The sequence below is a fragment of the Homo sapiens genome, chromosome 1 (assembly GCF_000001405.40).
Source record: "Homo sapiens chromosome 1, GRCh38.p14 Primary Assembly".
In the NCBI taxonomy this organism is placed as follows: Eukaryota; Metazoa; Chordata; class Mammalia; order Primates; family Hominidae; genus Homo; species Homo sapiens.
In genome coordinates, this window is record NC_000001.11 from 11,206,235 (window position 1) to 11,233,343 (window position 27,109).

Sequence of the window (27,109 nt, forward strand, 5' to 3'; positions counted from 1 at the left end):
TATATTATACAGCAATTGTTAAAAGCTGCACATAAACAGGGAAGTATTACTAGTTTCTTTTTCCCTCTAATGAAATGAGGTTGGGCCTGGGTAAGGCAGAGACAATTCAACACAGTGGTTAAGAGAGTGGGCTCTGGAGTCATGCTATCTAGGTCAAATCCCAGCTCCACCATTGATGCTAGTTGACACTGGGCAAATTACTTAACCCGTCAGTGCCTCACGGTCCACATCTGTAAAGTGGGACAGCAACGACAGCACCTAACTCATGGGGTTATCATGAAGATTAAATGAGTTAATATAGTGTTCCACCACAGTGCTTGACACACGGAAAGCACTCAATAAATGTCAGTTGTTACTATTACTTGATAAATGGCAGTAAATAGGTTTTCAAAAAATCATAGCTTAATTTATTGACTAGGCCAAGTCCCCCATGTGGCCCTTTCCCCCTGCTCTGTAAAACATTATCAACTCTCAATTCTCTGGGTTCTATAACAACTGTGTAAACACGAGCTGCTTCCTCTTGCCATCCACCCACTGCTGATCGCCTCATCTGGTGATGCTGGTGCCTGTTCATGGAATGCCAGCTTACTCATGGTGAAGGTAAACCCAAACAGATTATCATTCAGACAGACAGTAAAGCTGCTGAAAATTCTGGAAGGCATTCTAGAAGTATACATAAATGGTTTTTATGTTTTCTGTATCACATAAATCTAATATTATCATAACAAATAAAATGGTGACTGAGGTGGCAAATTGTTACTCTGAAAGTTGGTTAAGACTGATAAATGCACCAATCCCTAATTATCATCACATGATTATAAGGAGGCACAATTTACTTCTGAACAATGAGGTCTGCTGCCTTTTTTTGTCGTTGTTGTTGGTGAGACAGGGTCTTGCTCTGTTGCCTGTGCTGGAGTGGTGAAGTGGGATGATCACTGCTTACTGCAGCCTTGACCTCCCAGGCTCAAGAGATCCTCCCACCTTAGCCTCTCGAGTAGCTGGGACTACAGGCATGCACCACCATGTCCAGCTAATTTTTGTATTTTTTGTAGAGGGGGAATTTTGCCATGTTGCCCCAGCTGGTCTTGAACTCCTGGGCTCGAGTAATCCTCCCGCCTGGCTTCCCAAAGTGTTGGAATTACAGGCATGAGCCACTGCACCTGGCCCCCTACCTCTTTTTTTTTTTTTTTTTTGAAGAGAATCTTGCTCTGTCACCTGGGCTGGAGTGCAGTGGCGCAATCATAGCTCACTGCACCCTGGAACTCATGGGCTCAAGTGAACCTCCTGCCTCAGTCTCCTGAGTAGCTGGGACTACAGGCAGGTGCCACTCTGCTCAGCTAATTTTTAAAATTTTTTCAATTCCTTTTTTTTTTTTTTTTTTGAGACAGGGTCTTACTCTGTTGCCCAGGCTGAAATTAATTTTTTTCATTTTTCATTTTTATTATACAGATGGTGTTTTACTATGTTGCCCAGGCTGGTCTCAAACTCCTGCTTCAAGTGATTCTTCCATTTTGGCCTGCCAAATTACTGAGATTACAGGCATGAGCCACCATGCCCAGCTCCCACAATTTACTTCCCAATGAAATAGATCTGAGAGTGAGCTGTGGAGGATTCTGTCTAGAGTTTTGAACTTGATCTACTTTCTCAGGTGAGATAAACTAAGAGTCTTTCTTTTGTCTATCTGGCAAGGTTTATGCTTATTTTTTCCAAGTCTGGGTAGAAAGCAAAACTTCCTGGAAGCAAACTAGATTACTGAGGAATTTCCTAAAATAGAGAGAACAAAGCTCTAAAGCAGGGTGGACGGCTGCCTGGTTGGAAGGACATTCTGAACCTAGTCAGGATGAAAACATCTGGGTGGAAATGTACATCTGGCCTCCTGCCTGGCCCCTCCCTCCAGTGTGAGGTGTCAGCAGGGTGGCCTCAATGATTACCTGGGAATGCCAAGTGACTGATAACCTTTTTCTTCCTCCTAAAGTCTCAGAGTAGCAGTTACAAAATCCCCAGAGGGAAAGCAGCATCACTCCTGACCCAGGAATATTTTACTACCTCCATCTTAACCCAGCAAACGTTTCTTAGCAGTGGTCACTTGAAGCTGTTTGTGTGAGTAAAGACTCTGAAACAACAGTAATAAACCCCCAGTGCTCCGCAAAGCTGGGCGTGAGCCCGTACACATGCACAAAGGACTGTGTTCAAATCTTTATGGGTTTTTCCAAAAGAAGTGAACGAGTCAGCTAGGACACAGTCTTGCCCAGTTCTTCACCTCTATCTGCTGCTGCACATGGAGTGAGATGGCTAATAGATGAAAAATAACACTGAAATCTAAACTGGAAGTTGCTTACAGTCACCAGAAACATGAAAGACTAATGCAAAATGGAAAATACTCGATGTGGTATATTTATTTAAAGTTGGTGAAGTAATTATGATTATTGTGCTCTGATTCACTAGAGATGCTTTGAAACTGCCTGTTTTTAGGTGGATAGCTGATGGCATACATGGTGAAAAGCTGGTCATATCTTAGGCTTTGGCCAGCAGAGATAATTCAGTAATCACTTGGAAACATCTAAAACCTCACTACTCAAAGTATGGTCCATGGACCAGCAGCATCACATTAGCTGGCAGCTTGTCAGAAATGCAGAATATCAGGCCCCAAATCAGACTGCCAACAACAGAATAAGCATTTTTACAAGACTCCCAGCAACTGGTAAGCCCAATGAGTTTGAGAAGTTTGAAAAGCACTGTTTGAAAGAGCCTTCATCAGTCTCAATGCCAACTAGGGGGCTCACTAGCTTTGTTCCCTTCATGTAAAAAATGAGAATGTATTTGCAACAAAAGGTTCTACCATCCATATTCCAAGGGAGCACAAAAGGACATTTTGTTCTCTACTTTTTCTCTATTCAAAACAAAATTACAATTTAGGCACCTGTAAAAAGACAAAATGATCTAAGTTCATGGTATCTAGATTTCTGGAAAAAACACCTGGGCTGGTTTTCGGTTGCCCAGTTTAAACAGTTAAAAGTTTTGAGTAAGTGAGAAGAGCAGAGCTCTCCTTTCCCAGTCACCTGAAACAATGGACTTGCCTTTTGGAGGTTGATGGTGCTGACGTGCAGTTTCTTCATGGGTCCTGTTTCCACTGGTCCACTAGCCAATGCATCCCCTTGGCCACTCCTAAGCATCCGATGCTGGTAAATCAAAGGATCCTCCTCTTCATCAGCAAGTGTGTATCCCTACAACCAAAGATTTATAGGAAACACCTATAACTCTACTAGATGCTTCTGGTTTAGGAAATATCCTTAAATTTTGGGAGGTGCAGACCTGGTAGAGCCAGGATTTCAGTAAGAAGTAAAAAGTTGCACATATGGACAAAATGAACCACAGATGGGCTGACTCCCCAACTGTAGACAGTCTTTGCTAGTCACTCCTAGTTACTGACAAGCACTGACTTAGTATTAAGATCAAGCAACCATGCAACTAGCAAAGATAAACAATTGTCGGCAATGGGAAAAGTGATAAAGTGTTTGGAGCAAAGGTGGCAAACAGCCCCCATCCCCTGGCTTTTTAAAACTTTTTAAAAAGAATCATCTATTCACTTATTTATTTGTGCCACTCCCTACCTGCCTATCTAATCGAACCTATTTATTTACTTATTTTTTTGAGACAGAGTCTAGCTCTGTCTCTCAGGCTGGAGTGCAGTAGCGCAATCTCAGCTCACTGCAACCTCTGCCTCCTGGGTTCAAGCAATTCTCTTGCCTGAGCCTCCTGAATAGTTGGGACTACAGGTGCACACCACCATGCCCGGCTAATTTTTGTATTTTTAATGGAGACGAGGTTTCGCCATGTTGGCCAGGCTGGTCTTGAACTCCTGACCTCAAGTGATCCTCCCGCCTCAGCCTCTCAAAGTTGTGGGATTACAGGCATGAGCCCCTGTGCCTAGCCTTTAATCTACTTTGAGATAGGGTCTCACTCTGCCACCCAGGCTGGAGTGCACTGGTGCAATCACAGCTCACTGCAGCCTCAGGTGATCCTCCCACTTCAGCCTCCTCGGTAACTGGGACCACAGGTACCCGCCATCATGACCAGCTAATTTTTTGTATTTTTTGTACAGATGGGGTTTTACCATGTTGCCCAGGCTGGTCTCAAACTCCTGGGCTCAAGCAATCCACCTGCCTTGGCCTCCCAAGGCGGGAGCCACCGCACCCAGCCCTCTGCCTGTTTTTATATAGCCCAAGAGCTAAGAAGGGTTTTTATACTTTTAAATGGTTGGGGGGAAAAAAAATCAAAAGAAGATTGATATTTTGCAACACATGAAAATTGAGAGAATCAAATTTAGGTGTCCATAAATAAAGTTTTAGTGGAATGCAGCCAGGCTCATCATTTACACATTGTGTATGGCTGCTCTCAGGCTGTAGTGGCAGAGCTGAGGAGCTGCAAAAGAGACCACATAGTCTACAAAACTGGAAAAAAGTTTGCCAATCCCTAATTTACAGCCAAAAAGCTACACAAACTCCCATAGCCAAGATTACAAGAATATCAAGTAGTAAAGACAACAGGGACTTCAGAACAGAAAAGAAGTATAGTTCACCTTGACAATTCTGCAGATGAGCACATCATAGCGCTGATGATTGATTCGGTGTCGCACCAGAACTTTATTCACCATTGGAATGAAAATTTGGTACTAAAACAGGAGGGGGAAGAGATGAGAAACTATCATTTTGGAGAGTGGAGAAAAAGTAGAGGAAAAAATATTATACAACTACATTATGACCATTTCTTCTGGGTTTGTGGCTAGCTCTGTGATATTCAAAAGAATCCTTCTTCCCATCTCCCGTTATAATCCTAGTTCAAGTCCCCATCATCTGGTTTATGATGGTGGCCTCTTAACAGATCTTTGCTTCTGCCCTTGCCCCCGCAGCCTATTTTCCCACATGGCATTGAGTTATCATTTAAAAATATTAAGTCAGATCTTATTTTTCCTGTGTTCAAAGTCCACCAAAAACTTCCAGTCTTGCTCAGAGTAAAAGCCAAAGTACTTACAATGGCCCACAATAGTGATTTGCATATTTTAGTGGGCGTCAGAATCACCTGGACAGCTCATGAAACCAGAGACTGCTGGGCTCCACAGCTAGAGGATCTGATTCAGTAGGTCTTAGGTGAGATGAGGTCTTGCTCTGTTGCCCAGGCTGGAGTGCAATGGCACAATTATGGGGGTCACTGCAGTCTGGAACTCCTGGGCTCAAGCGATCCCTCTGCCTTAGCCTCCTGAGTAGCTGGGACCACAGGCACGTGTTCCTACGCCTGGCTAAGTTTTAAATTTTTTTGTGGAGACAGGGTCTTGCTATGTCTGGAGTTGGTCTCCAACTCCTGATCTCAAGCAATCCTCTTGCCTCAGCCTCCCAAGTTGCTGGAATTACGGGTGTGAGTCACTGTGCCTAGCTCAAGAATCTGCATTTCTAACAAGTTCTCAGGTATGTAGACACTGATACTGCTTGTCCAGGAATGATATTTTGAGAGCTCCAGGCCTACAAAATCTAGTCTCTACTATTCTGCCTTATCTCCATCACCTTAACTACAAGCACTTCCCCATTGCTTGCTCCTCTGAAGTCACACTGCTTTCCTGCTGTGCCCTGAACTCTTTGAGCAAGCTGCCACCTCAACCTTAGCACTTGCTATTTCTTCTCCTTGCATCCAATTCTTTGCAACCAGGCCTTTATTTTATCTAGGTCTCTGCTTGAGTGTCAACTGATCAGAGGTCTTCTCTGTCTACCCTAAATAAAGAGCACTTCTCCCCACTTCAACCCATCACTCTTAAGAAACAAACTGTTTATTTGCTTTGCTTCATCAGGATGGAAGCTCTATGAGAGCAAGGACTTTATTCTGTTTACCGTGTTACCCCCAGAACGGCACTTAGCTCACATAGGTTGCTCAATAAATGTTTGCTGAACACATGAAAAGAAAAAAAGCAAGTAATTCCACGTTCTCTGATGGTGGCTGGCATCAGACAAAGTCTGAGTGGCTCACAGACAAAGTCTTCTTTCCAAATAAGGCAGAAGAGCACCTGTCTGTCCAGACTCCCATCTTACCTTCTTCCCCAGCTGAAAAACAAGTGAAGACAGCGTGTCCATGGCTGTGGAGCGCAGTTCTGGGCTCTGGTCCAGTGTTCGAACAATAGGGTGAATGATCCGGGAGGCATAGTCAGTGAAATCCAGGGACTCCGTCAGGCGGTCCACAGTCTCTAGCGCTGCCCTACAACAATCACTAACATACAGTAACTGCTAACATACAATCTCCAAGGAAGAGACGTGACTGAGGGTGAGCTTAACAATCAGCACCAAAGGGATGGGAATGAACGGCTTCTAAGGTATTTTGGATGACATGGATCCAACATTTATTCCAATGGGATAGGGACAGTTAAGATTTCCATAAACCTGGGATATTTCTAGACTAAAATAATGTGAGTTGAAATAACAAAAAAAATAGAAAGATGGCCTGGGAACTTAAGAAATGAACATTTTCAACAAAACATTAAAGCTTAAAGATTGCTAGTCCCAAAGAGGAGGTGCTCACTTTCGAGATGGCAGTGGAGCTTCAGGGGCATCAAACAACTTAACAATAGGAGGCAGCAGTAAATGCAGGTAGTCATCCAGGTTGGCGCCAAACAGCTGGATTGCAGCCAGTAACTGCAAAAGGGAGCAAAAGCATGGTGATGAATAGTCAGGTCCCAAGTATCTAAGGACACGCAGCGGGTGGTGGTGTAGACAATTCAAAGTTCTCTGGGGACTGGGAAAACTCTTTATTAAATGGCCTTGAACTATATCCTTTTGATAGCACTTTCTTCCCCTCATTTTATTTGCTTACATATTACTTTGCTTTCTCTGTGCTTATTTGAGTTGATAAGGAATCCGTTGCTGGAAAATAAAGAAAATTAGTCTGGGATAAAATATTTCCCAAGATTAATCCATTGAAACAGATACAAAACATAAGGATAATCAAGAGAGGATTACAGACATTCTGTAAACTGCACACATTGGGTATTAGTATTCTTGGGATTCTGTCTTATGGAATGGGCATCAACCTGTCACTCAGAATGAGGTCTCAGCTTTTAGCTGATCACCCAGGGACTCAGAGGAAATCAGAAAATCTCTCTGGAGGATGACGTAGGCTACTCACCTTGATAGAGACAATGCGGCCTGGGCTGTTGTCATGCATGAAGACACGCAGCATGTGTGGGATCAGCTGGGGCAGGTAGAGCTTAAATTCACCCCCAAGAGCTACCACAATTTGCTCAATGAGAAGAATGATCGTGCTCTGAATTGAGGTGTTCATGACCCAGAATTCCTACAAAGAGAGAAAAGTCAGAGGAGCTGAGTCAGGTCCCTTTCTGATGATATATGAACAAAGGAATCAAGATGGCCAGAAAAGCAAAACTGTAGTGAGCATGGTCTGCGCCGAGATCAACTCCTCACTCCCCTCCTCCCACTGGGCCCTTCTTGTGTCCTATGTTGCAGCTACACTGGACAAACTCAATTGCATTTCCCCAGATGCACCAGGCTACCTCAGTCCTCTGGGCTTTGCTCATGCTGCTTCCTCTGCCTAGAATCCCACTTCTTGCTCAGCTAAGCCCTGTCTGTCTTTCTAGACCTGGCTCTAGCCTCACTTCTCCCATGCAGGCTTTCTTCTTCTCCTTCCATGATCCACTTGGGTCCTTTGCACTCCCTTTGATAGCGATAGCAGTTGTAAGACTTCCTTTGCTTTGCTGTCCTCCCTCTAGACTGTAGGCTACTTAGGGACAAGTATCCTATCTCTGTATCCCCAGAATCTATCAATCAGAGCATCTGGAATATTCTAGAATGAACAGATGACTAAGTCACTCAAAAAACTCTGAAGTGGTCCAGGGTGGACTTGGACCTTACTTTGGTATCACCTGATCTCTACCAGAGGGTGACTCCAGTATTACAAATATTTCCTGGCTTTTCTGGATTTAGATTTTGCTATTAATAGATAGCATCTGATATCTGTCCCTTCCCAAAAATCTATCCATCAGGCCTGAACAGTGCCACAAAATGAGCCCCTTTCTACACCCACATGGTTATTTTCCACACAAGTTACTAAAATAAAAACTTGGCCAACTGGCCACAGATCCTGCCTCAGTGCTGCAAAGCAAATTAGTCCAAGCCTCTAACTCCAGGAAAAGATATCATTTCTATCAACTCAAAAAGACAGCTGCCTACCACCATCTTTAAAAGTTCTGGAGTAGGAAATTTAATGATAATAGAAACCCTACTAATGATGGCAACACATGAATGTTAATATTCTTGGAGCCTCTAAATAGTTCAAAGTAGAAGTCCATAACAACAAGGATAACTCCTCAGATGAAAGGCTTTATAAAAAGATATAGTATTTTTATTTAAAAAGGTATCTTTAAAAGCATAATGGTTTAGAAAGCAAAAACTATACTAGAAGATGCTGGTAAAACTTCCTTTCTCTCTACTTGGAGAGAAGTATTCTCTCTGAAAAAGCTGTGTTTTCTAGGTTAAAAGTGTTGCCAAAGAAACACCACAGATTTCACAGCCTCCAGAGTCTGTCTGATGTTCATCCACTTGAACCCTACTCTGCCTTCTTTAGAGAAGGCCAACCTACCTCCCAGCTGCATTATCATCAGCTCCTCACAGGGGCTTCTCTACCTCAAAGATGTCAGGCAGCCTGCCAAGGGATGTCAGCTGGATCACTGTTCACAAAGACTATTTTCTTCCCAGGCTCGGGGGAGCTCATTAAAATGCCCAGAATCAACAGTCAAAGGAAGAGCCCCCGTTGCACCTTCTCTATCTGGGATGAAATGAAAGCTGTATTTTGCAGGTGTGAGGCTCCCTGCCTCAATTCCCTGTGTTTTGGTCATCAACCTGTTATGACTATAATATGGTCATATTGTATCCTTGTTTAGCCTTCTTGGGGGGATTAAGTCACAGATTACTTCATCCTCCTCCCATGAGGACACTGCTTCTTCCCTTGCCCCTCCTCCCACTAAGACTAGCCATCGGCCTCTTTAGCATTCTGCCTAAATCCTCCTTGTACAGAGGCTTCTGTGGTAAGAGTCAGGGAATAGAGCAGCTTTTAATTATTTATACATGTAGGGAGGTTTTCAGTTCTGAGATCCAGGTGCTGGGAAGTTCCATTTGAAACCAGCCATTTTGATTTTAGTCCTGCTAAAATCAAATAGTCCAGCCATTTTGATTTTAGTCCAAACTAACTACAAAGGTCTGGTGTGAAAGAACAGAAATCTTCCAACTCTTTGAGGACATGCCATCCCTGTGAAGCAATCTTCCCCGTAGAGACATTTAAATTATATAGAACACAAGGAAAAATGATATTGCCCATGGGGTGTCTTCTGGCACCTACTTAATGCATGTTATAAAATCCTGGAACCTGAGCCTTTTCTCATGTGCCACTGCAGTCAAAAGGTGATATGTATGGTTTTGGAGGTAGCAGGGTAAAGCATCACCTTGTTCCTTGGTGCCCAACACGTGTCCATCATATTTAACAGCCCTAAGAAAACCCAATCCCTTCATGGTTTATGAGCAGTAACAAAGAGGGCTTTCATGAAAATAGAAAAGCACCCTTGTGATATTAAAGTAAAATTGCTTTGTTGTGTGTGAGGCAAATAACCCAATTGTCTATTTCTGGCAGAACAATTACTGCAGGATTTCTCTTCAGCCTTCATGCCTTGTAGTTTTGTACCTGGGAACCTGGAGCAACAGCCCTTCCTCCCCCTCAAAATCCAGTGGGCTTTGTTCCACTTCCTGTACTAAGACTGTAACAGCTCTACAAAGATCCGTGAAAAAAAGTCTATGTCATTCAAACTTGCTTCTGAGCCTTCCTTGACCCAAACATGGAAGAGGCCAAAGCATTAACTTCTACTCACTCTCATGAGGGTGACTATTTCATCCATATAAGGTCTGATGTGGCTCTTCACAAAGGACACCAACATTCCCAGCTGCTGGAACAAAAACTGAAATGGACAAGAGGTCAACCAGCTGGTATCATGAAGGACATTGAACCCCCAGGCTTACCTTAAGCTCATGTGAACAAATAAAGGCAACTATGGAATGGGTTTCCACACTACACTATCTACTGAGAATATATTTCAAAGACCCAAGCTTGGCTAGGTTTGGAGGCTCAGTGCTTTGGGAGGCCAAGGCGGGAGGACTGCTTGAGGCCAAGATTTCAAGAACAGCCTGGGCAACATGGCGAGATCCTGTCTCTACAAAAAAAATACAAAAAATTAGCTGGGCACTTGCCTGTAGTTCTAGCTACTGGATGCTAAGGTGGGAGAAATGCTTGAGCCCAGAAGTTCAAGGCTGTAGTGAGCTATGCACGTGCCACTGCACTCTACAGAGTGCAGGGTGACAGGGTGAGACCCTGTCTCTTAAAAAAAAAAAAAAAAAAGACACAAACTTAAATGGTGATAGTGGTGGGGACTCAAAACAATTGTCAGAGGTTTTTACACACAAGGCGAGCCAGTTACTGCACAGCAGGGGCTTTGTAACCCTCATTTAACCTCCCTGTGCCCAGGCTCTTCCATGGGAAAATGGAGATAATAATACTTACCTCATAGACTTCTAAGGCTTAAATGGGATAATTCATGTCAAGCACTAGAACAGGGACGTGAATACTATTCAGTGCTCAATGAATGTCTGTATCATTGAAGGATTCCTGGAATTACTAAACTTAAAAATAAACCTGAAAGTTTTTACCAACTGTAAATGTACCTTTTGTTTATTTGGCTCTAATTAATTACCACTTCCTTCCTAAAATAAATACAGCTAACTCTTGATTATGGGTATTGTAGCTCATTTATAGTAATTAACTCATTACTTAGGTCTTAATTAATTAACTATGTCTCTGAGAGATTATGAGCCAAAATAAGCAAGCAAACTGGGGTAGGGATAGGATGAGGAGATTCTACTGAAGTCAGTACCTTTTAGGTGTAGGAAGAAAAAACATGCACTAAATAAAGCTGGGAATAAGGAAGGTGTGGGTAAAGAAAATCTCAACTACTTTCCAGGTTAAAGATTTGTCTTCAAGATGTAGGTTTTATTTTGTTATGAGCTTCAGATAGTATTACACGCCAGTAATAAGTAGCAAATAATATTTGACACCCCTTCCCCCAATTTTTTTTTTTTTGAGACAGAGTCTCACTCTGTCACCCAGGCTGGAGTACAGTGGCATGATCTCGGCTCACTGCAAGCTCCCGGGTTCAAGCCTCCCGGGTTCAAGCCATTCTCCTGCCTCTGCCTCCCGAGTAGCTGGGACTACAGGCGCCCGCCACCATGCCCGGCTAATTTTTTTTTTTTTTTGTATTTTTTTAGTAGAGACAGGGTTTCACCGTGTTAGCCAGGATGGTCTCGCTCTCTTGACTTCATGATCCGCCCGCCTTGCCCTCCCAAAGTGCTGCGATTACAGTCGTGAGCCACCACGCCTGGCCCCCTTCCCCAAATTTTTACAGCTCTCTCTGCCTTTGTTTCTCTCCATTAACAAGGATAATTTAGAAAATGAACATATGTATTTTCACTCCTATCCACATGCAAGTCGGGTAAGTTGGAATAAATAAAAAGCATTACTTAAAAAAAAAAGTGCTATCTCAAACAGTGAGTAATGGATTTATAGTACTCATTACCCAAAGAGGCAAGATCGATAGGACATACAGGATTGGGCTTAAAGAAGAGTTTGAACATATTCCCTAATGATAACTTTGACTTCTAAGGTGATTACAGCCTGGTCCCCATGTGGCACACATTTGACTCAGTAGGCTCATTTCTACCTATCTCCTGGTCCCCACCATTCCCCAAATTGAATCACTACAGTTTTGTAGTGATTCCCCATACAAATATGTATAGTGGTCCCTATACAAATATGTTATTACAGGCCGGGCGCGGTGGTTCACGCCTGTAATCCCAGCACTTTGGGAGGCTGAGGCGGGCAGATCACAAGGTCAAGAGTTTGAGATCAGCCTGGCCAACATGGTGAAACCCCATCTCTACTAAAAATACAAAATTTAGCTGGGCATGGTGGCATGTGCCTGTAATCCCAGCTACTCGGGAGGCTGAGGCAGGAGAATTGCTTGAAACCGGAAGGCGGAGGTTGCAGTGAGCTAAGGTCACACCATTGTACTCCAACCTGGGCGACAGGGCGAGACTCCATCTCAAAAAAAAAAAAATGTTATTACAAAGATCAAGGAAAATGAGACTAAATATAAAGGTTCTTCAGGCAAATTTTTATTATGCAAAGCCTGAAAGAAAGTAGAAAACCTAAGCTGGAGGAAAACAGGCCTACAGCGATGGCGGGGAGGTCAGAGAAAACTGAGAGACAGAAAGAGGAAACAAGCTTCCTGGTCCTTGGTGCCATTTTATTAGGCATGATTAGGGAGCATTTCCGTGGCTTATTCATAAGGAGTAGCTGCCCAAGGGACATGGACAGGCAAGCACCTCAATGCTGAGTAGAGAGCTAGAGGAGCTGCCTCTTCTTCCTTAGCCTTTCACATGTGTTCTCTTTTTGCTCGGAACATGAGTATTTTAAAAGAACACAGTTTTGCTCCTGAAAATATGATGCACTAGATCTCCTTCCAAACTCCCCCACTATGAAAAGCCTAAAATTAAGTACAAAAATATAAACATGATTATAAGATTATTAGAACTGAAGTGGCCAGGCGCAGTGGCTCACGCCTGTAATCCCAGCACTTTGGGAGGCCAAGGTAGGCAGATCACCCCGAGCTCAGAAGTTTAAGACCAGCCTGAGCAACATGGCAAAACCTTGTCTCTACCAGAAGTACAAAAAAATATATTAGCTGGGCATAGTGGCATGTGTCTGTAGTCCCAGTTACTTGGAAGGTTGAGGTGGGAGGATCACTTCAGCCTCAGAGGTGAGGTTACAGTGAGCTGAGATCATGTCACTGCGCTCCAGCCTGGGCAACAAAGTGAGACCCTGTTTCAAAAAAAAAAAAAGAACTAAAGCCTCTCACATAAAGCCAGACTTTCAAAGAGCTACATATTAAGAGAAATGGTGAGTTAAAAAAAAAAAATCTGTCCACTGGTAAAAGGAGATAAAGAAATTTGCCAGTTGTGATGTGGGGTCTAGGCAGAAAAATGCCTCCCCTAAGAGTTCATAATTTCAGGCATCTATTGTACAGGTTTAGGGATTTATTTTCACTAACTGTGTGGCCTGGGAATCTCTAAGCCAAGAAATTAAAGTTCTCATGGACCACCTGGCAGAAGTAAATGCACATCCTCTCTGGAAAGATGCAAATTTAGAGCAGATTTTCTAGTATTGCTCCAGGGAAAGCCCAGTTGAATATGCTATATGATTCGAAATTATAAAACACGTGAGGAAACAGACCACTACAAGCATGACTTCTCAGAAACAATATACACAATCAGACCCACTAAGAGTTTTATATATAATAGAAGTATTCGACAGAAAATTTAGTCTGTTTAAAATGCCTTAAAAAAAGTGGGAATAAGGCTGGGCACGGTGGCTCATGCCTATAATTCCAGCACTTTGGAAGGCTGAGGCGGGTGGATTGCTTGAGGACAGGAGTTCAAGACCAGCCTGGGCAACATGGTAAAACCCTGTCTCTATTGAAAATGCAAAAAACAAAAAAAATTAGCCAGCATGGTGGTGCACGCCTGTAGTTCCAGCTACTCAGGAGGCTGAGGCATGAGGATCACTCGAACATGGAAGGTGGAGGTTGCAGTTAACCGAGATCGTACCACTGCATTCCGGCCTGGCAGCAGAGTGAGACTTGATCTCAAAAAAAAAAAAAAGAAAAGAAAAGAAAAGAAAGAAAAAAAAAATAGAAGGGTATAAGGACAAAATTCCAAAAAAGATAATAGATGAGAATTTCTCAGGAACTGATAAGATACCAATCCTCACATTCAGGAAGCCCTCCAAGTCTCAAACAGGATAATCAAAAGAAATTCACATCTAGATATATAATAGTAAACACTTCAGGATAACAAAACAATGAGAAGTAAAGCCACAGAAAAAATATGTAAAAGGGATTCACGATTTCTCAACGGCAACAAAAAGAAGTCAGAAAGTGGGATCGTATCTACAGTTGTAGGAGAACCTAGAATAATATTCTTGGCTAAAAAAATAAATTTTTTAATTTAATTTTTAAATCTCCAAATGAAGATTTAAAAAGAGGGTGAAATAAAGACTTATTCAGATAAGAGCAGTTTATTTCAATGAATGCTCCTAAGAGGAATTTGTCCTATGAAGAAAGAATATGATTCTAGGAGAAAGCTCTAATATGGAAGACAGGGTGATGAGACATGAAATATGTGTGGATGAATATAAACAAACACGACATAAAACGACAATAATGTTTAATAAGATGGAGGAAGGGGGCCTAGGAACGCAGGCACCCTCTAAAACAAGCTTGTCCAACTCCTCGTGCTCTAGAAGCTAGAAAAAGCAAGGAAAACAATTCTCCCCTAGAGCTTCCAGATGGGAACACAGTCCTGTCAACATCTTGATTTTAGCCCAGTGAGACCTCATGTCAGAAATATAACCTAGAGAGCTGTAAGATAAGAAATCTGTGTTAAGCCACTAAATTTGTGGTAATCTGTTATAGCAGCAATAGGAAATAATAAAGGAAGGAAGAAAACGAGGTATAAAGATGGTGACAGAAGCTAGACGTTGCTAGATAAGATTTTATTTATAGTTCTAGCTCTGGAACTATGTTAATGTCTTATATAACTAAAACAAAAGTTAATTTTTTTTTTTTTGGAGATGGAGTCTTCCTCTGTCGCCCAGGCTGAAGTGCAGTGGTCCAATCTTGGCTCACTGCAACCTCTGTCTCCCGGGTTCAAGAAATTCTCCTGCCTCAGTCTCCTGAGTAGCTGAGACTACAGGCATGCACCACCATGCCCGGCTAATCTTTGTATTTTTAGTAGAGACGGGGTTTCGTCATGTTGGCCAGGCTGGTCTCAAACTCCTGACTTTGAGTGATCCACCTGCCTCGGCCTCCCAAAGTGTTGGGGTTACAGATGTGAGCCACCACGCTCAGCCTAAATTTTTTGTAAACTCAAGGAAATTTCTAAAAATTGAAAATAAACAGAAACAAATGAGTATAACTATAAGCCAAGTTGGCTGCACAATCACTCAAGAAGAATATCAACTGAAAGTCTTAAACTACATTTAGTCATCTTATTGTTAATACTAACATTGGTCATTTTCTATTTACATCTATAAAATATATATATATGTATGTAATCTCACTAAAAGAAATCAGAGCTCCTTGGAAATGGCTATGCCCAGGTTTGAGTGAAATATACTTGATACGCTTGGAGTAATTTTTTTCCGCCAGAAAGCAAGAAAGTCTACCGGGCCATGTAAAAAGGACACAACAGCCAGGGTGATCAGGACAATCTGATTGTGAAAAAGATTGGTGCCTGCAATGAACAGAAATATTATATATACATATATATATAGTGTATATATACATATATATATTCTATATATATAGAAATACTCTATATAGAGAGCTCTGTTTCTTTTAGTGAGATTACATATATATATGTATCTTTCTTAAACACACAAGTAGTAAAGTAAATGACCAATATTAGTATTAACAATAAGATGACTAAATGACTTTCACTTGACAGTCTTCTTTGAGTGACTGTGCAACCAACTTGGTTTACAGTATAAATAAAGATAAATTATATATATATATGTATCTTCATGAGTTCATACTGATACTCCAAAGAATGAGGGTAGGATTGGGAGGTGGGAAGGTGCCTGGCTCACCTCTGAAAAGCTGTTAGAGGCTTGACTCATTATACTAAAAAATTGATAAATTGATAAATAAAGGGAAAGATTCATGCATGTATTCTGCTTTTCCTACATGATCTACACTTCAAATTACCTCAGTAGTTGATTATATAAAGTTCTTTTTTAAAATTTATTTAAAAAAAATTTTTTTTTTTTTTGAGACGGAGTCTCGCTCTGTCACCCAGGCTGGAGTGCAGTGGCCCAATCTCGGCTCACTGCAAGCTCTACCTCCCGGGTTCATGCCATTCTCCTGTCTCAGCCTCCCACGTAGCTGGGACTACAGGTGCCTGCCACCATGCCTGGCTAATTTTTTTGTATTTTTAGTAGAGACAGGGTTTCATCGTGTTAGCCAGGATGGTCTTGATCTCCTGACCTTGTGATCCACCCGCCTCGGCCTCCCAAAGTGCTGGGATTACAGGCGTGGGCCACTGCGCCCAGCCTAAAAAAATGTTTTAAATAAAATGAGATGGGGTTTTGCTATGCTGCCCAGGTTGGTCTTACACTCCTCCTGGGCTCAAGCAATCCTCTCAACTCAGCCTCCCAAAGTGCTGATATTACAGCCACCATGCCCAGCCAAGTTCTTTATTTCTAAAGAACTTTCTAGCTAATAAATCCAGAAGGAATAATCAAATTAGAAAATCACCATTTTGGGGCACATGTTCTCAGGAGCTCCTGAGAGATATGTCATGGAAAAAAACATTTTTTTTAATAAAAAAAATATATATATAAGTAAGAAAATCACCATTTTGCAGTCCCTAATCAAATAACAGCTCTAGGAAATAACTACCAATGAATGCTAAAATGACTGGGAAAAAGGCTGATAGGGAACTTTATAACAGATGGATCAGATGACAATATCCGAACCCACTGATCAGCCTTTACATCACTAGCAGTGGGTCATATGGAAAATATCTGTTTACTAAATGTTGAAATAGGAGGTATACAGTACTGTAATCTATGAAGTATCTCTTGTCAAAAGAACAGAACCTGAATCTAATCAAGCCTCTAAATCTAACTAGTTTATAGGAAATTAAGACACTTCGAAGATACAATCAGCCAAATCCAGTATGAGAAACAGGACAAATGACCTGGTTTCTTCTACAAATACATGACTTTTTTTTTTTTTTTAAGTAGAGGGAAAAGGTAAATAAGTAGTGAAAGAATTATATACATCAACCAAATGCCAGATGTAGACCTTATATAGATTTTTATTTGAATAAACCAAATTACAATGAATTTTTAAGACAATCAGGGACATCTGAAGAAGGGTTGGTATTAAATAATACTAAGAAATGATTGTTAGCTTTGTAGGTGTCATATTTGTGGTTACATGGGAAAAAGTATGTATTGGTGAAATAATATGATACCTGTAATTTGCTTTAAAATACTGCAGAAATGTATGTACATGTGTCGGGGGGAAAGGCGATGGAGGTAAGAGATAAAACCAAATTGACAAAATGCTAGTAATTACTGATGGGTATGTGAGAATCTAATATAATAGGTTGTCTACTATATTCATGATTGAAATAGTCTATTACAAAATGTTAAGAAAAATTAAAGGTGGCCAATGAGTGAAGGCAAAAGATGAAATAAAAAATAAAGGCTCAAACAAATCCAGAAAAAGACAAAAAAGAAAGATAAACAGACAAAGCAGGACAAAAAGAATGCACTAAGTAAGATGGTGGAAATAAACGCAAACATGGCCAGGTGCAGTGGTTCACACCTGTAATCCCAGCACTTTGGGAGGCCGAGACGGGTGGATCACTTGTGGTCAGGAGTTTGAGACCAGCCTGGCCAATATGGTGAAATCCTATCTCTACTAAAAATACAAAATTAGCTGGGCATGGTAGCATGCACCTATAATCCCAGCTACCTGGGAGGGTGAGGCAGGAGAATCACTTGAACCCAAGAGGCAGAGGTTGCAGTGAGCCGAGATCACACCATTGCACTCCACCCTGGCAACAAGAGCGATACTCCGTCTCAAAATAAAATAAAATAAAATAAAATAAAATAAAATAAAATAAAATAAATAGGCCAAATATAACAGCAATCACAATAAATGCAATTGGCCTAGAATGCACTGGTTAAAAGACAAACATTTTTAAATTGGATTAAAAAGATAATCTAGCTATATTTACAAGACAGCATCCAAAACAAAAAGTCACAAGACAGTTAAAAGTAAAAGAATTGGAAAAGACATATACCTCCAAAAAAAAGCTGGTACAGCTATATTAATGTTACGTAAAATACGTTTTAAGGTATTATTAAAGATAAGAAGGATTATTGCATAATGATAAAAGAGTCAACTTACCAGGAAGATATCAGGATTTAAAATTTGCATGCATCTAGTAATATAATCTCAAAGATACATAAAACAAGATTGACTAAACTATCAGAAAAAAGCCCACCAATGTAAAGGGAGATTTTTGTCTCACTTCTCTCAGTATTGATAGATCAAACAAACAAAAATTAGAAGGACACAAAAGATTTGAACACAATAAGTAATAAATTCAATCTAATGACTTATGTAAAACCCTGTCCATAACGTTAGCAAATACACAAGTATTCCCAAGGATATAGGAAATATTTATGAAAATCAATCAACCACTAGACCATTAAAGCAGTTCCAGCAAGCATGAAAGAATCATAAACACAATGCAATTAAGTTAGAAATCAATATAAAAAAGAGAAATTAAAAACCCTTTAAGTTTACAAATAAAATACCCACTTCTAAATAACTCAAGGGTAAAAGAAGAAATTCTAACACTGGAAAATATTTCTGGACAATAATGAAAATACTACATCACTACTGAGTAATAAAGGAAGAATGAATTACTGATACATGCCACACATGGATGAACCTCAAAAGTTTTAAGTGAAAGAAGCCAGATGCAAAAGACCACATATTCTATGACACCAATTACATGAAATGCCCAGAAAAAGTAAATCTATAGAGAGAGAAGCAGATTAGTAGTTGCCCAGGGATGAGGCAGAAACAGAAAATGACTGAAAATGGACAGGAGGTTTTTTTGCTGGGGTGATTTAAGTTTTCTAAAATTAGATTATTAGTGATAACTGCATAACTCTGTAAATATATTAAAAATCAATGAATTTTACGGTATGTAAATTTTATCTGACTTGTAAATAAATAAATAAATTTTTTATTTTAAATTTTCCCCCCACATATCTTACGGTATGTAAGCTTTAAGAAATTTTGGAAAGCAGTTAATACTTGGAGTGAAATTCATAGCCTTAAGAGATTACATTAGAAAAGAAGACTGACAATGACTTAACATTCTAACACAATTTTTTTTAAAAAGCAGAAAAAGTAAAATAATAATAGATCAACAAGTCAAAAATTGGTTCTTTTTTTTTTTTTTTTTGAGACAGAATCTTGCTCTGCCATCCAGGCTGGAGTGCAATGGCACAATCTCAGCTCACTGCAACCTCCACCTCCCAGATTCAAGCGATTCTCCCACCTCAGCCTCTTGAGTAGCTGGGATTACAAGCATGTGCCACCATGCCCGGCTAATTTTTGTATTTTTAGTAGAGATGGGGTTTCTCCATGTTGGCCAGGCTGGAGTTGAACTCCGAACCTCAGATGATCCACCCGCCTTGGCCTCCCAAAGTGCTGGGATTATAGGCATGAGCCACCGCACCTGGCCGATAGTTGCTTCTTTGAAAAATGCTTTAACAAATCTCTAGTAGAAAATTAAAACATAATCCACTCAGTTCTGGGGCATAAAAAAAGATCTTAAAAAAATTAAAATGTAAGAGAACAGTGTGAACAATTTCATGTCAACAAGTTTTATCACTTAGACAAAATGAACAGCTTCCTAAAAAAAAGTAGCCAAAACTGCTTCAAGGAGATACAGAAAAGCTAAACAGATCTTTGAGCCCATAGTTAAGAAAGAGAAAATTATAGACCAATTCAATCAAGAACACAGATCCAAAAATTCTAAGCTGAACTGACATAAGATCGAAATTTAAAAATACATTATAACCAAGGTGGTTTTAATATAAGAATGCCAGCATTCTTACATTAGAACACGTTATCAGTGTGATTCAACATATTTAACACATTAAAAGAGAAAAACCATATGACTATTACAGACTAAAGAATTCAATATACATTCATAATAAAACTCTTTAGTATTCTCTTTATATGAGAATATTTGACCTTTATAAAGCTATCTAGTGCTCATTTTGGCAGCACGTATACTAGCATTGGAACAATCTAGAGAAGATTAGCATGGCCCATATGCAAGGATAACAGGCAAATTTGTGAAGCATTCCGTATTTTTTTAAAAATAAAAATAAAATAAAAAGATATCTACCAAAAAGCTACAACAAATATTATACTTCATGGTGAAATCTTAACAGCAGTCCCATTAAAATCAGGAGCAAGGTTATAGATTTCCACTATCACTGCATCTAATTAACATGGAAGTAGGCCGGGTACAGTGGCTCACTCCTGTAATTCCAGTGCTTTGGGAGGCCAAGGTGGGCAGATAGCTTGAGCCCAGGAGTTTGATACCAGCCTGGGCAACATGGCGAAACCCAAAAAATCAGCTGGGTGTGGTTGTAAATGCCTGTAGTCCCAGCTACTCGGGAGGCTGAGGTGGGAGGATTATTTGAGCCCAGGAGGTGGAGGTTGCAGTGAGCCCATATCACCTATTGCAACCTCTGTGTCACCAGCTTGGGCAACAGAGCTAGACCCTATCTCAAAAACCAAAAACATGGTAGTAGAGGTCTTATGACTTTTTTAGTACTTATTACTTTTCCTTACTGTGTCACTAAGTGGTGGTTTACAAGATTAAAACTAAAAAACAAAACTTCCTTTTTTAATTTTTCTTCCCCCCACCCCCGCCCCCGCCCCCGCCCACCAGACTATATAATTATATAGAGTAAAAACCTGAGAGAATTTACAGGTAAATTATTAGAGTTAATAAGAATTCCGGCCAGGCGTGGTGGCTCATGCCTGTAATCCCAGCACTTTGGGAGGCTGAGGCAGTTGGATCACCTGAGGTTAGGAGCTCAAGACCAGCCTGGCAAACATGGCGAAACCCTGTCTCTACTAAAAATACAAAAATTAGCCGGGCTTGGTGGTGCACCCCTGTAATCCCAGCTACTCAAGAGGCTGAGGCAGGAGAATTGCTTGAACCTGAGAGGCAGAGGCTGCAATGAACTGAGATCATACCACTGCACTCCAGCCTGGGCAACAAAGTGAGACTTTGTCTCAAAAAAAAAAAAAAAAAAAAAAAAAAAAATTCAATTAGGTTGATAGTTATAAATACAATAGAAACAAATAAACAGTATGTCTATACTCCAGACACAAAGTTAGGAAACATAATTTCTAAAAACATGCTATCTCCTCTAAATGTACATCATGTTGACAATATGATCAGAGGGAAAAGTAACTAATTGAGGTATCTTTTAAACATAGTACTCTTACTGTACACCCTTAGTAGAGTGTATTCTAAGAATAACAGGAACTACAAAGCTACTCTGAACTTTACTTAGATCTGTGGTTGGTAGTAGTAGGGACATATAATCTTAGAACCATTTTGCATATTCTGTGGTTTAAAGAAAGACACAAGAAACAGCAAGAGTGAGAGGTGGGGGAGGGGAAAATTCCTCTTCACAGAAAAATGCTGCCAGCTAATAAAATGGAGAAGGAATAGCAAAATTAGAAAGTCATCACTTTGCAACCACCAGTGTGATAATCAACTCAAGTGAGGATTATCAACGGATGCTAAAATCACCGGATGGAAGGTAGCTGAGGAACAGGATAGCCATGGAGTCTCAAAGTGTCACCCCACAGATTACTCACTAATGGCAAAGGAAAACAGATAAGCTTACAATGGAGAGATCGGATAAACACCTACTCGGCCGCATGCTCGCACTGAGGATCAACAGTAATGGGACCAACTGGTGGCAGTATGAGATCCAGTAAGAAGCATTCAACTTCACCTGTGTAGTATTTTCACTAAAAATGTTACGACTTAAATCTCGTCATGAAGGAGCAACCAGAAATCCAGACTGATTTTCTATTTGTGGGGCATCTACAACCGGACTGAACTCTAGATTACTGAGAATGACAATGCTTTTCCTCCCCCAGGCTATTCATCTTTTAGCCATCTTTTTCTTGAGACAGAGTCTCACTCTGTCGTCCAAGCTGAAGCACGGTGGCTCGATCTCAGCTCACTGCAACCTCTACCTCCCAGGTTCAAGGGATTCTCCTGCCTTAGCCTCCCGAGTAGCTGGGATTATAGGCGTGCACCATCACGCATGGCTAATTTTTGTATTTTTAGTAGAGACGGGGTTTCACCATGTTGGCCAGGCTGGTCTCAAACTCCTGACCTCAGGTGATCTGCCCACTTCGGCCTCCCAAAGTGCTAGGATTATAGGTGTGAGCCACTGCACCTGGCCCTTTTAGCCAGGACACTGGAGTGAGCTGATTGTACACTTTATATGTTGGGAGTTAAGGGGGAGGAAGGCATTGGGCTCAGGGGCACAGAGAATGCACAATTAAGAAGCTGAAGCACAGATGGATCTGTGCATGTGTGGTGCAGAGGAGAAAGAGAAGGATTGGGGTTTGAGGTACTTACTTCCCGGATGGCCCCATCACAGACTCGAATGACGTTAAGGAACGTGGGCATGACCTGGGGCAGGAACTGCACACATTTGAGTCCCAGGGACTTGAAGATGAAGGTGATGGCCTGGACAACCATGGTGTGATGATGAGAGAGTGACTGGTCTCGGAAGATCCGCATCAGGGCCACCATGGACACAGCTGGGTAGAACTCATCCAGAGGCAAGTTTCCCATGTTGACCAGCATTTCACTAGTGCTATAGTCAGCTAGGACAAAACAACAGAGAGTGTTAGAGCTACACATGGCATGACGTGACTTCAGGCAGAGCATGGTTAGTAACAAACAACCTCCTAACAGACATTAGCATTCATATCTTTCTTCCTAGTATGTTCTAACACTGTTGGGAGTTCAAGGTCTATTAGGAACCAATGAATAGCCTCTCACCATCAAGGAGTAAACGGTTTTTGGCTTTTCTATTACTCAAACCACAAAAGCCTAAAACAGTACATGATGGGTTGGTTTTCTCTAAATTGCTCTGTTTAATTTAGCTTCTTACCGTTCACAACTTCATAACTGAAACCATCAATAAAAATAATTACTCCCCCAAAATAAAGTAAAGGGAATTAAATTAGGCAAACATCTGTTCAGCAGCTCCTTGGTTCCCCTAGGGAATTCAGACAAGTTGGTAGGCAAATACTACCTACCTGACTTGAACAGTAAGGACCTCAAGGACTCTGACGGTGGCAGCGGGGGCAGTGGCAAGGGAGGGAGGTATACTAACATGAAGAGTGCAGCGAGGAGGGTAAGAACTAAACAGATGAAGAGCTGGGCTGACTGGTGCCATGAATAAGGAAGAACACCAGGAGCAGCATGGCTCAGGCCCTGCTCTCAACAGCTATGGGGCTGACAGAATGACATCACAGGCATGCCTCTCTAATACCAGAAGAGGAAGAAATGTGAAGCAATATGATCCCATCTAGAAAGTTCAGAAACAATTTATTTTGGGGTAATAATATTTTCCTGGAATAGTTGGGAGAATCAATGTTAACTTTCAATGTCAGAAATAGGCCTGCCCTGAGGGAATATGGGTTAAGTCTAGAAAACCCTCCTGCAACCCCATACCCCACCCCCATTCACTCAGGCTACTTGTCAAAAGGCAACGGGCTATACAAAAAGTATCGAGGTGTGGTGGCACACGCCTGTAGTCCCAGCTACTTGAGGGGCTGAAGCAGGAGGATCACTTGAGCCCAGGAGGTCGAGGCTACATCATGCCACTGTACTTCAGCCTGGGTGACAAAGTGAGACCCTGTCTCCAAAAAAATAAAATTAAGTTAAAATAAAAACAATAAAAGGCAATGGGCAACAGACCACCAGAAATTATTCCACCTGTCTAACTGGAACCTTGCACTCATTCACCAACCTCTCCCTATTCCCCCTCCCTGAGTCAATTAAAAATAAAACAAACCTTTAAAAAAAAAAAAAAGGCGTCCAGGCACAGTGGCTCATGCCTGTAATCCCAGCATTTTGGGAAGCTGAAGCAGGCAGATCACTTGAGGTCAGGAGTTTGAGAACAGCCAGGCCAACATGGCAAAACCCCTCCCTACTAAAAATGCAAAAATTAGCCAGGTGTGCTGGTGTGCACCTGTAGTCCCAGTTACCTGGGAGGCTGAGACAGAAGAATTGCTTGAACTCGGGAGGCAGAGGTTGCAGTGCTGTATTCCAGCCTGGGCAACAGAGTAAGACTCTCCATCTCAAAAACAAACAAACAAAAAAAGGCAGTGCAGCTCTTGGGCCAGACCATTTCACGGAAAAAAGAGCCCCAAATTTCTGATTGCTGCTAGTTTTCCCTATGGCCCTGAGCCTCGCCTCTGATTTCCCTATCAATTAAAACAGGAAGAATCAATTCTATCCTCTTCTTCTGTAGATACCATGGGAATGAGAACCATCAAAGAGGCACTAAGAAAGAATGAGAGATAGATAGAGGTGATGGGGTGATAATGTGTATCTCTTGCATTGGCATCAAAAAGCAGACAGACTTGGCATGCCAACCCTTGACAAAGAATCTAGACAGACATGAGGACTCTGGCCACAATGGGAAGCAGCAACCCTTCCGGGATTCAAGAAGAAACTACTGACTTTTCATTCAAAAGTTGCTACACGAGCCAATATCCTATAATTTCTCAGTAATCCAGCTCCAGACTTTCTAAACACAACCAGCAAGGGCTCTGTGAGTGAGAACTTGGCAAGTCTTTCATGGCTACCCCCAACTTACAGGAATCCTGACTTGACTTGGATTCTGACAGGCTGACAGCAGAGGCATCCCGGGACTGGTCTATCATGCCAATGTTCACTTTGTGCTTGTAAGGATCCAAAGCCCCTAAAAGCCCTAACACACGGATGGCCTGCGTGGGAAAGGGGAGGGAAAAAAGAAAACATTCATCACAACATGATTACAACAAGTATCACGGATACTCCTCTCAGGTTACATAATCCCCAGTTCATATCCAAATGACCAGCTACATGAACAAAATTGGAGAGGGACAGGAAGTCTGACTGACACTGTCAGAGCATGTTAATGCTGCAACCATCTCTCTCTTGCCATCGTCCCAGCAAAGTCTTTAAAGACCAAGTTTGCCACGTCCCCTACCTCTCTGCGTGTACCCTGGTTCTGCTCAGTCTTCAGAAAATTCAGTAGCACCTCAAGCAAAGTAGGGTACTTCCTGTAGGGCTCTACTACATAGCCAGTGCTGGCCACCAACTGTCCCAGGGTCCACAGAGCCACCTGGATAGGCACAAGAACACGATTCAATGAGCCAGTACGAGAGAAAAGAAAGCATAGTTGAACTCTTTGTATAATGATTATAATGAAGTGTTAGAGGCTGTAAGAAGAAAAGAGGTTTCCAGTAAAGACACTAACCATGAGCAGAAATCCCAAAAGGGCATAAAACCAAGGTTGATCAAGCACACAACCCTGCAACAATCACTGGATCAAGAGACAAAGAAAATTCCCACCTTTCTCAAAGAAAACACATCATTCTTCCATATCCCAAATGATTAACAGGAGATTCAAAAGGAAATTAAGATTTTTTGTTGTTGTTGAGACAGGGTCTCACTGGAGACTGGAATGCAGTGGTGTGATAACAGTTCACTGCAGCCTTAATCTCCTGGAATCGAGTGATCTTCCCATCTTAGCCTCCAAGTAGCTGGGACTACAGGCACATGCCACCATGCCCAGCTATTTTTTTTTTTTAGTAGAGACAAAGTCTCATCATGCCCAGGTTGCTCTCGCTCTGGAGCTCAAGCAATCTTCCTGCCTCAGCCTCCCAAAGTGCTAGGATTACAAGTGTGAGCTGCCATGCCCAGAAATAAATTAAGACTGTTCTTAATTTTAGTCTAGTCATCTAATAGCCTCAAATTGGGAAAGCAGAACCAGGGCTGGGCAAGGATGAGCTAAACTTCTGTTCCTTCATAGGCAGTGGCCAAGGCTTTCTTTTTCCCTCTGAGAGCTACGGCTCTGACAATTGACCTGCATTTTCTTTTGTATAGACAAAATGGCACTAGTCAGCCCCGATAATTACTGAAACTGACTCTGGGTCAGGACAACAGGTAATTCTGGTTTCAAATCTTTCTAACTTTTACTCATTCAACAAATATTTTTGAGCACCTACTATGTGTCACACTCTGTTCTAGGCACTGGGTGAGGACACTAAGGTGAATAAAGAGAAGCAAAGTCCCTGGACTCATGGGGTCTGTCTTGCTCAATCAGGAAGCAGTAATACTCACCTGCCTTTTGGCCAACAAAGAGGAATCCTGGAGCATGTCCATGATGATAATAAAAAGTTCATCAACCCATTTCCTCATTTCCAGGCCACTAACCTGCAAAATGAAAAAGAGGGTGGCAGAAAGGGTTAGAAATTCTGGCATTAGAAAGTATTTTGGAGGCCGGGCACGGTGGCTCATGCCTGTAATCCCAGCACTTTGGGAGGCTGAGGAGGGCAGATCACCTGGCATCAGGAGCTCCAGACCAGCCTAGCCAACATGGTAAAACCCCATCTCTACTAAAAATACAAGAATTAGCCAGGTGTGGTGGCACACACCTGTAATCCCGGCTACTTGGGAGGGTGAGGCACGAGAATCACTTGAACCCAGGAGATGGAGGTTGCAGTGAGCCAAGATCACACCACTGCACTCCAGCCTGGACAAAGTGAAACTGTCTCAAAAACAAATAAATAAAATAAAAAATTTTTTTTAAAAAAGCCCTCTCTTCCTTTCTCCACCATCATGGTGTGTGCCTGACTCTGATTCTTGCCATTCTTCTCACAAGACTTTCAGAATTAAGCAATTCCTGGCCAAGAAACAAAAGTAAAATCGTCCCATTCCCCAGTGGATTCGGATGAAAACTGGTAATAAAACCAGGTACAACTCCAAAAAAAGACACTGGAGAAGAACCAAGCAGGGTCTATAAGGAATTGCACATGAGATGGCACACACATTTATGCTGTCTGAAGGTCACAATGATATTACCATATCAAGCTGAAAATGTCACCACTATCTGGAGAGTTGGACATGTTTTATTGAGAATATATTATTTCTCTCTGAATCTGTTATGAATGCATTGTTGGCTGGGTTCCGCAATAAATATGTGAGACCTTTCATTTAAAAAAAAAAATAGTATTTTGACTTCCTTAGAG

General features: G+C 41.5%; 1 protein-coding gene and 2 pseudogenes across 8 annotated transcripts in view; 2 read left to right on the top strand and 1 right to left on the bottom strand.

The window, feature by feature from the left end:
- Positions 1 to 27,109, bottom strand: part of MTOR (mechanistic target of rapamycin kinase) — a 156,017-nt gene that overhangs the window by 99,700 nt on the left and 29,208 nt on the right. For all 8 annotated transcript variants that reach the window (XR_007058581.1, NM_001386501.1, NM_004958.4 and 5 more), the window contains 10 exons: positions 26,202 to 26,294; positions 25,066 to 25,200; positions 24,691 to 24,820; positions 22,434 to 22,684; positions 9,914 to 10,000; positions 7,165 to 7,332; positions 6,562 to 6,674; positions 6,078 to 6,240; positions 4,580 to 4,672; positions 3,078 to 3,224 (listed from right to left, as the gene is read on the bottom strand). Coding sequence is in view for 7 of the 8 variants with exons in the window: in NM_001386501.1 (NP_001373430.1) it covers positions 3,078 to 3,224; positions 4,580 to 4,672; positions 6,078 to 6,240; positions 6,562 to 6,674; positions 7,165 to 7,332; positions 9,914 to 10,000; positions 22,434 to 22,684; positions 24,691 to 24,820; positions 25,066 to 25,200; positions 26,202 to 26,294 (1,380 nt within the window). In the remaining variant the exon portion in view is untranslated. The remainder of the gene's footprint in view (positions 1 to 3,077; positions 3,225 to 4,579; positions 4,673 to 6,077; positions 6,241 to 6,561; positions 6,675 to 7,164; positions 7,333 to 9,913; positions 10,001 to 22,433; positions 22,685 to 24,690; positions 24,821 to 25,065; positions 25,201 to 26,201; positions 26,295 to 27,109) is intronic.
- RNU6-291P (RNA, U6 small nuclear 291, pseudogene) lies at positions 20,020 to 20,126 on the top strand (annotated as a pseudogene).
- RPL39P6 (ribosomal protein L39 pseudogene 6) lies at positions 26,676 to 27,079 on the top strand (annotated as a pseudogene).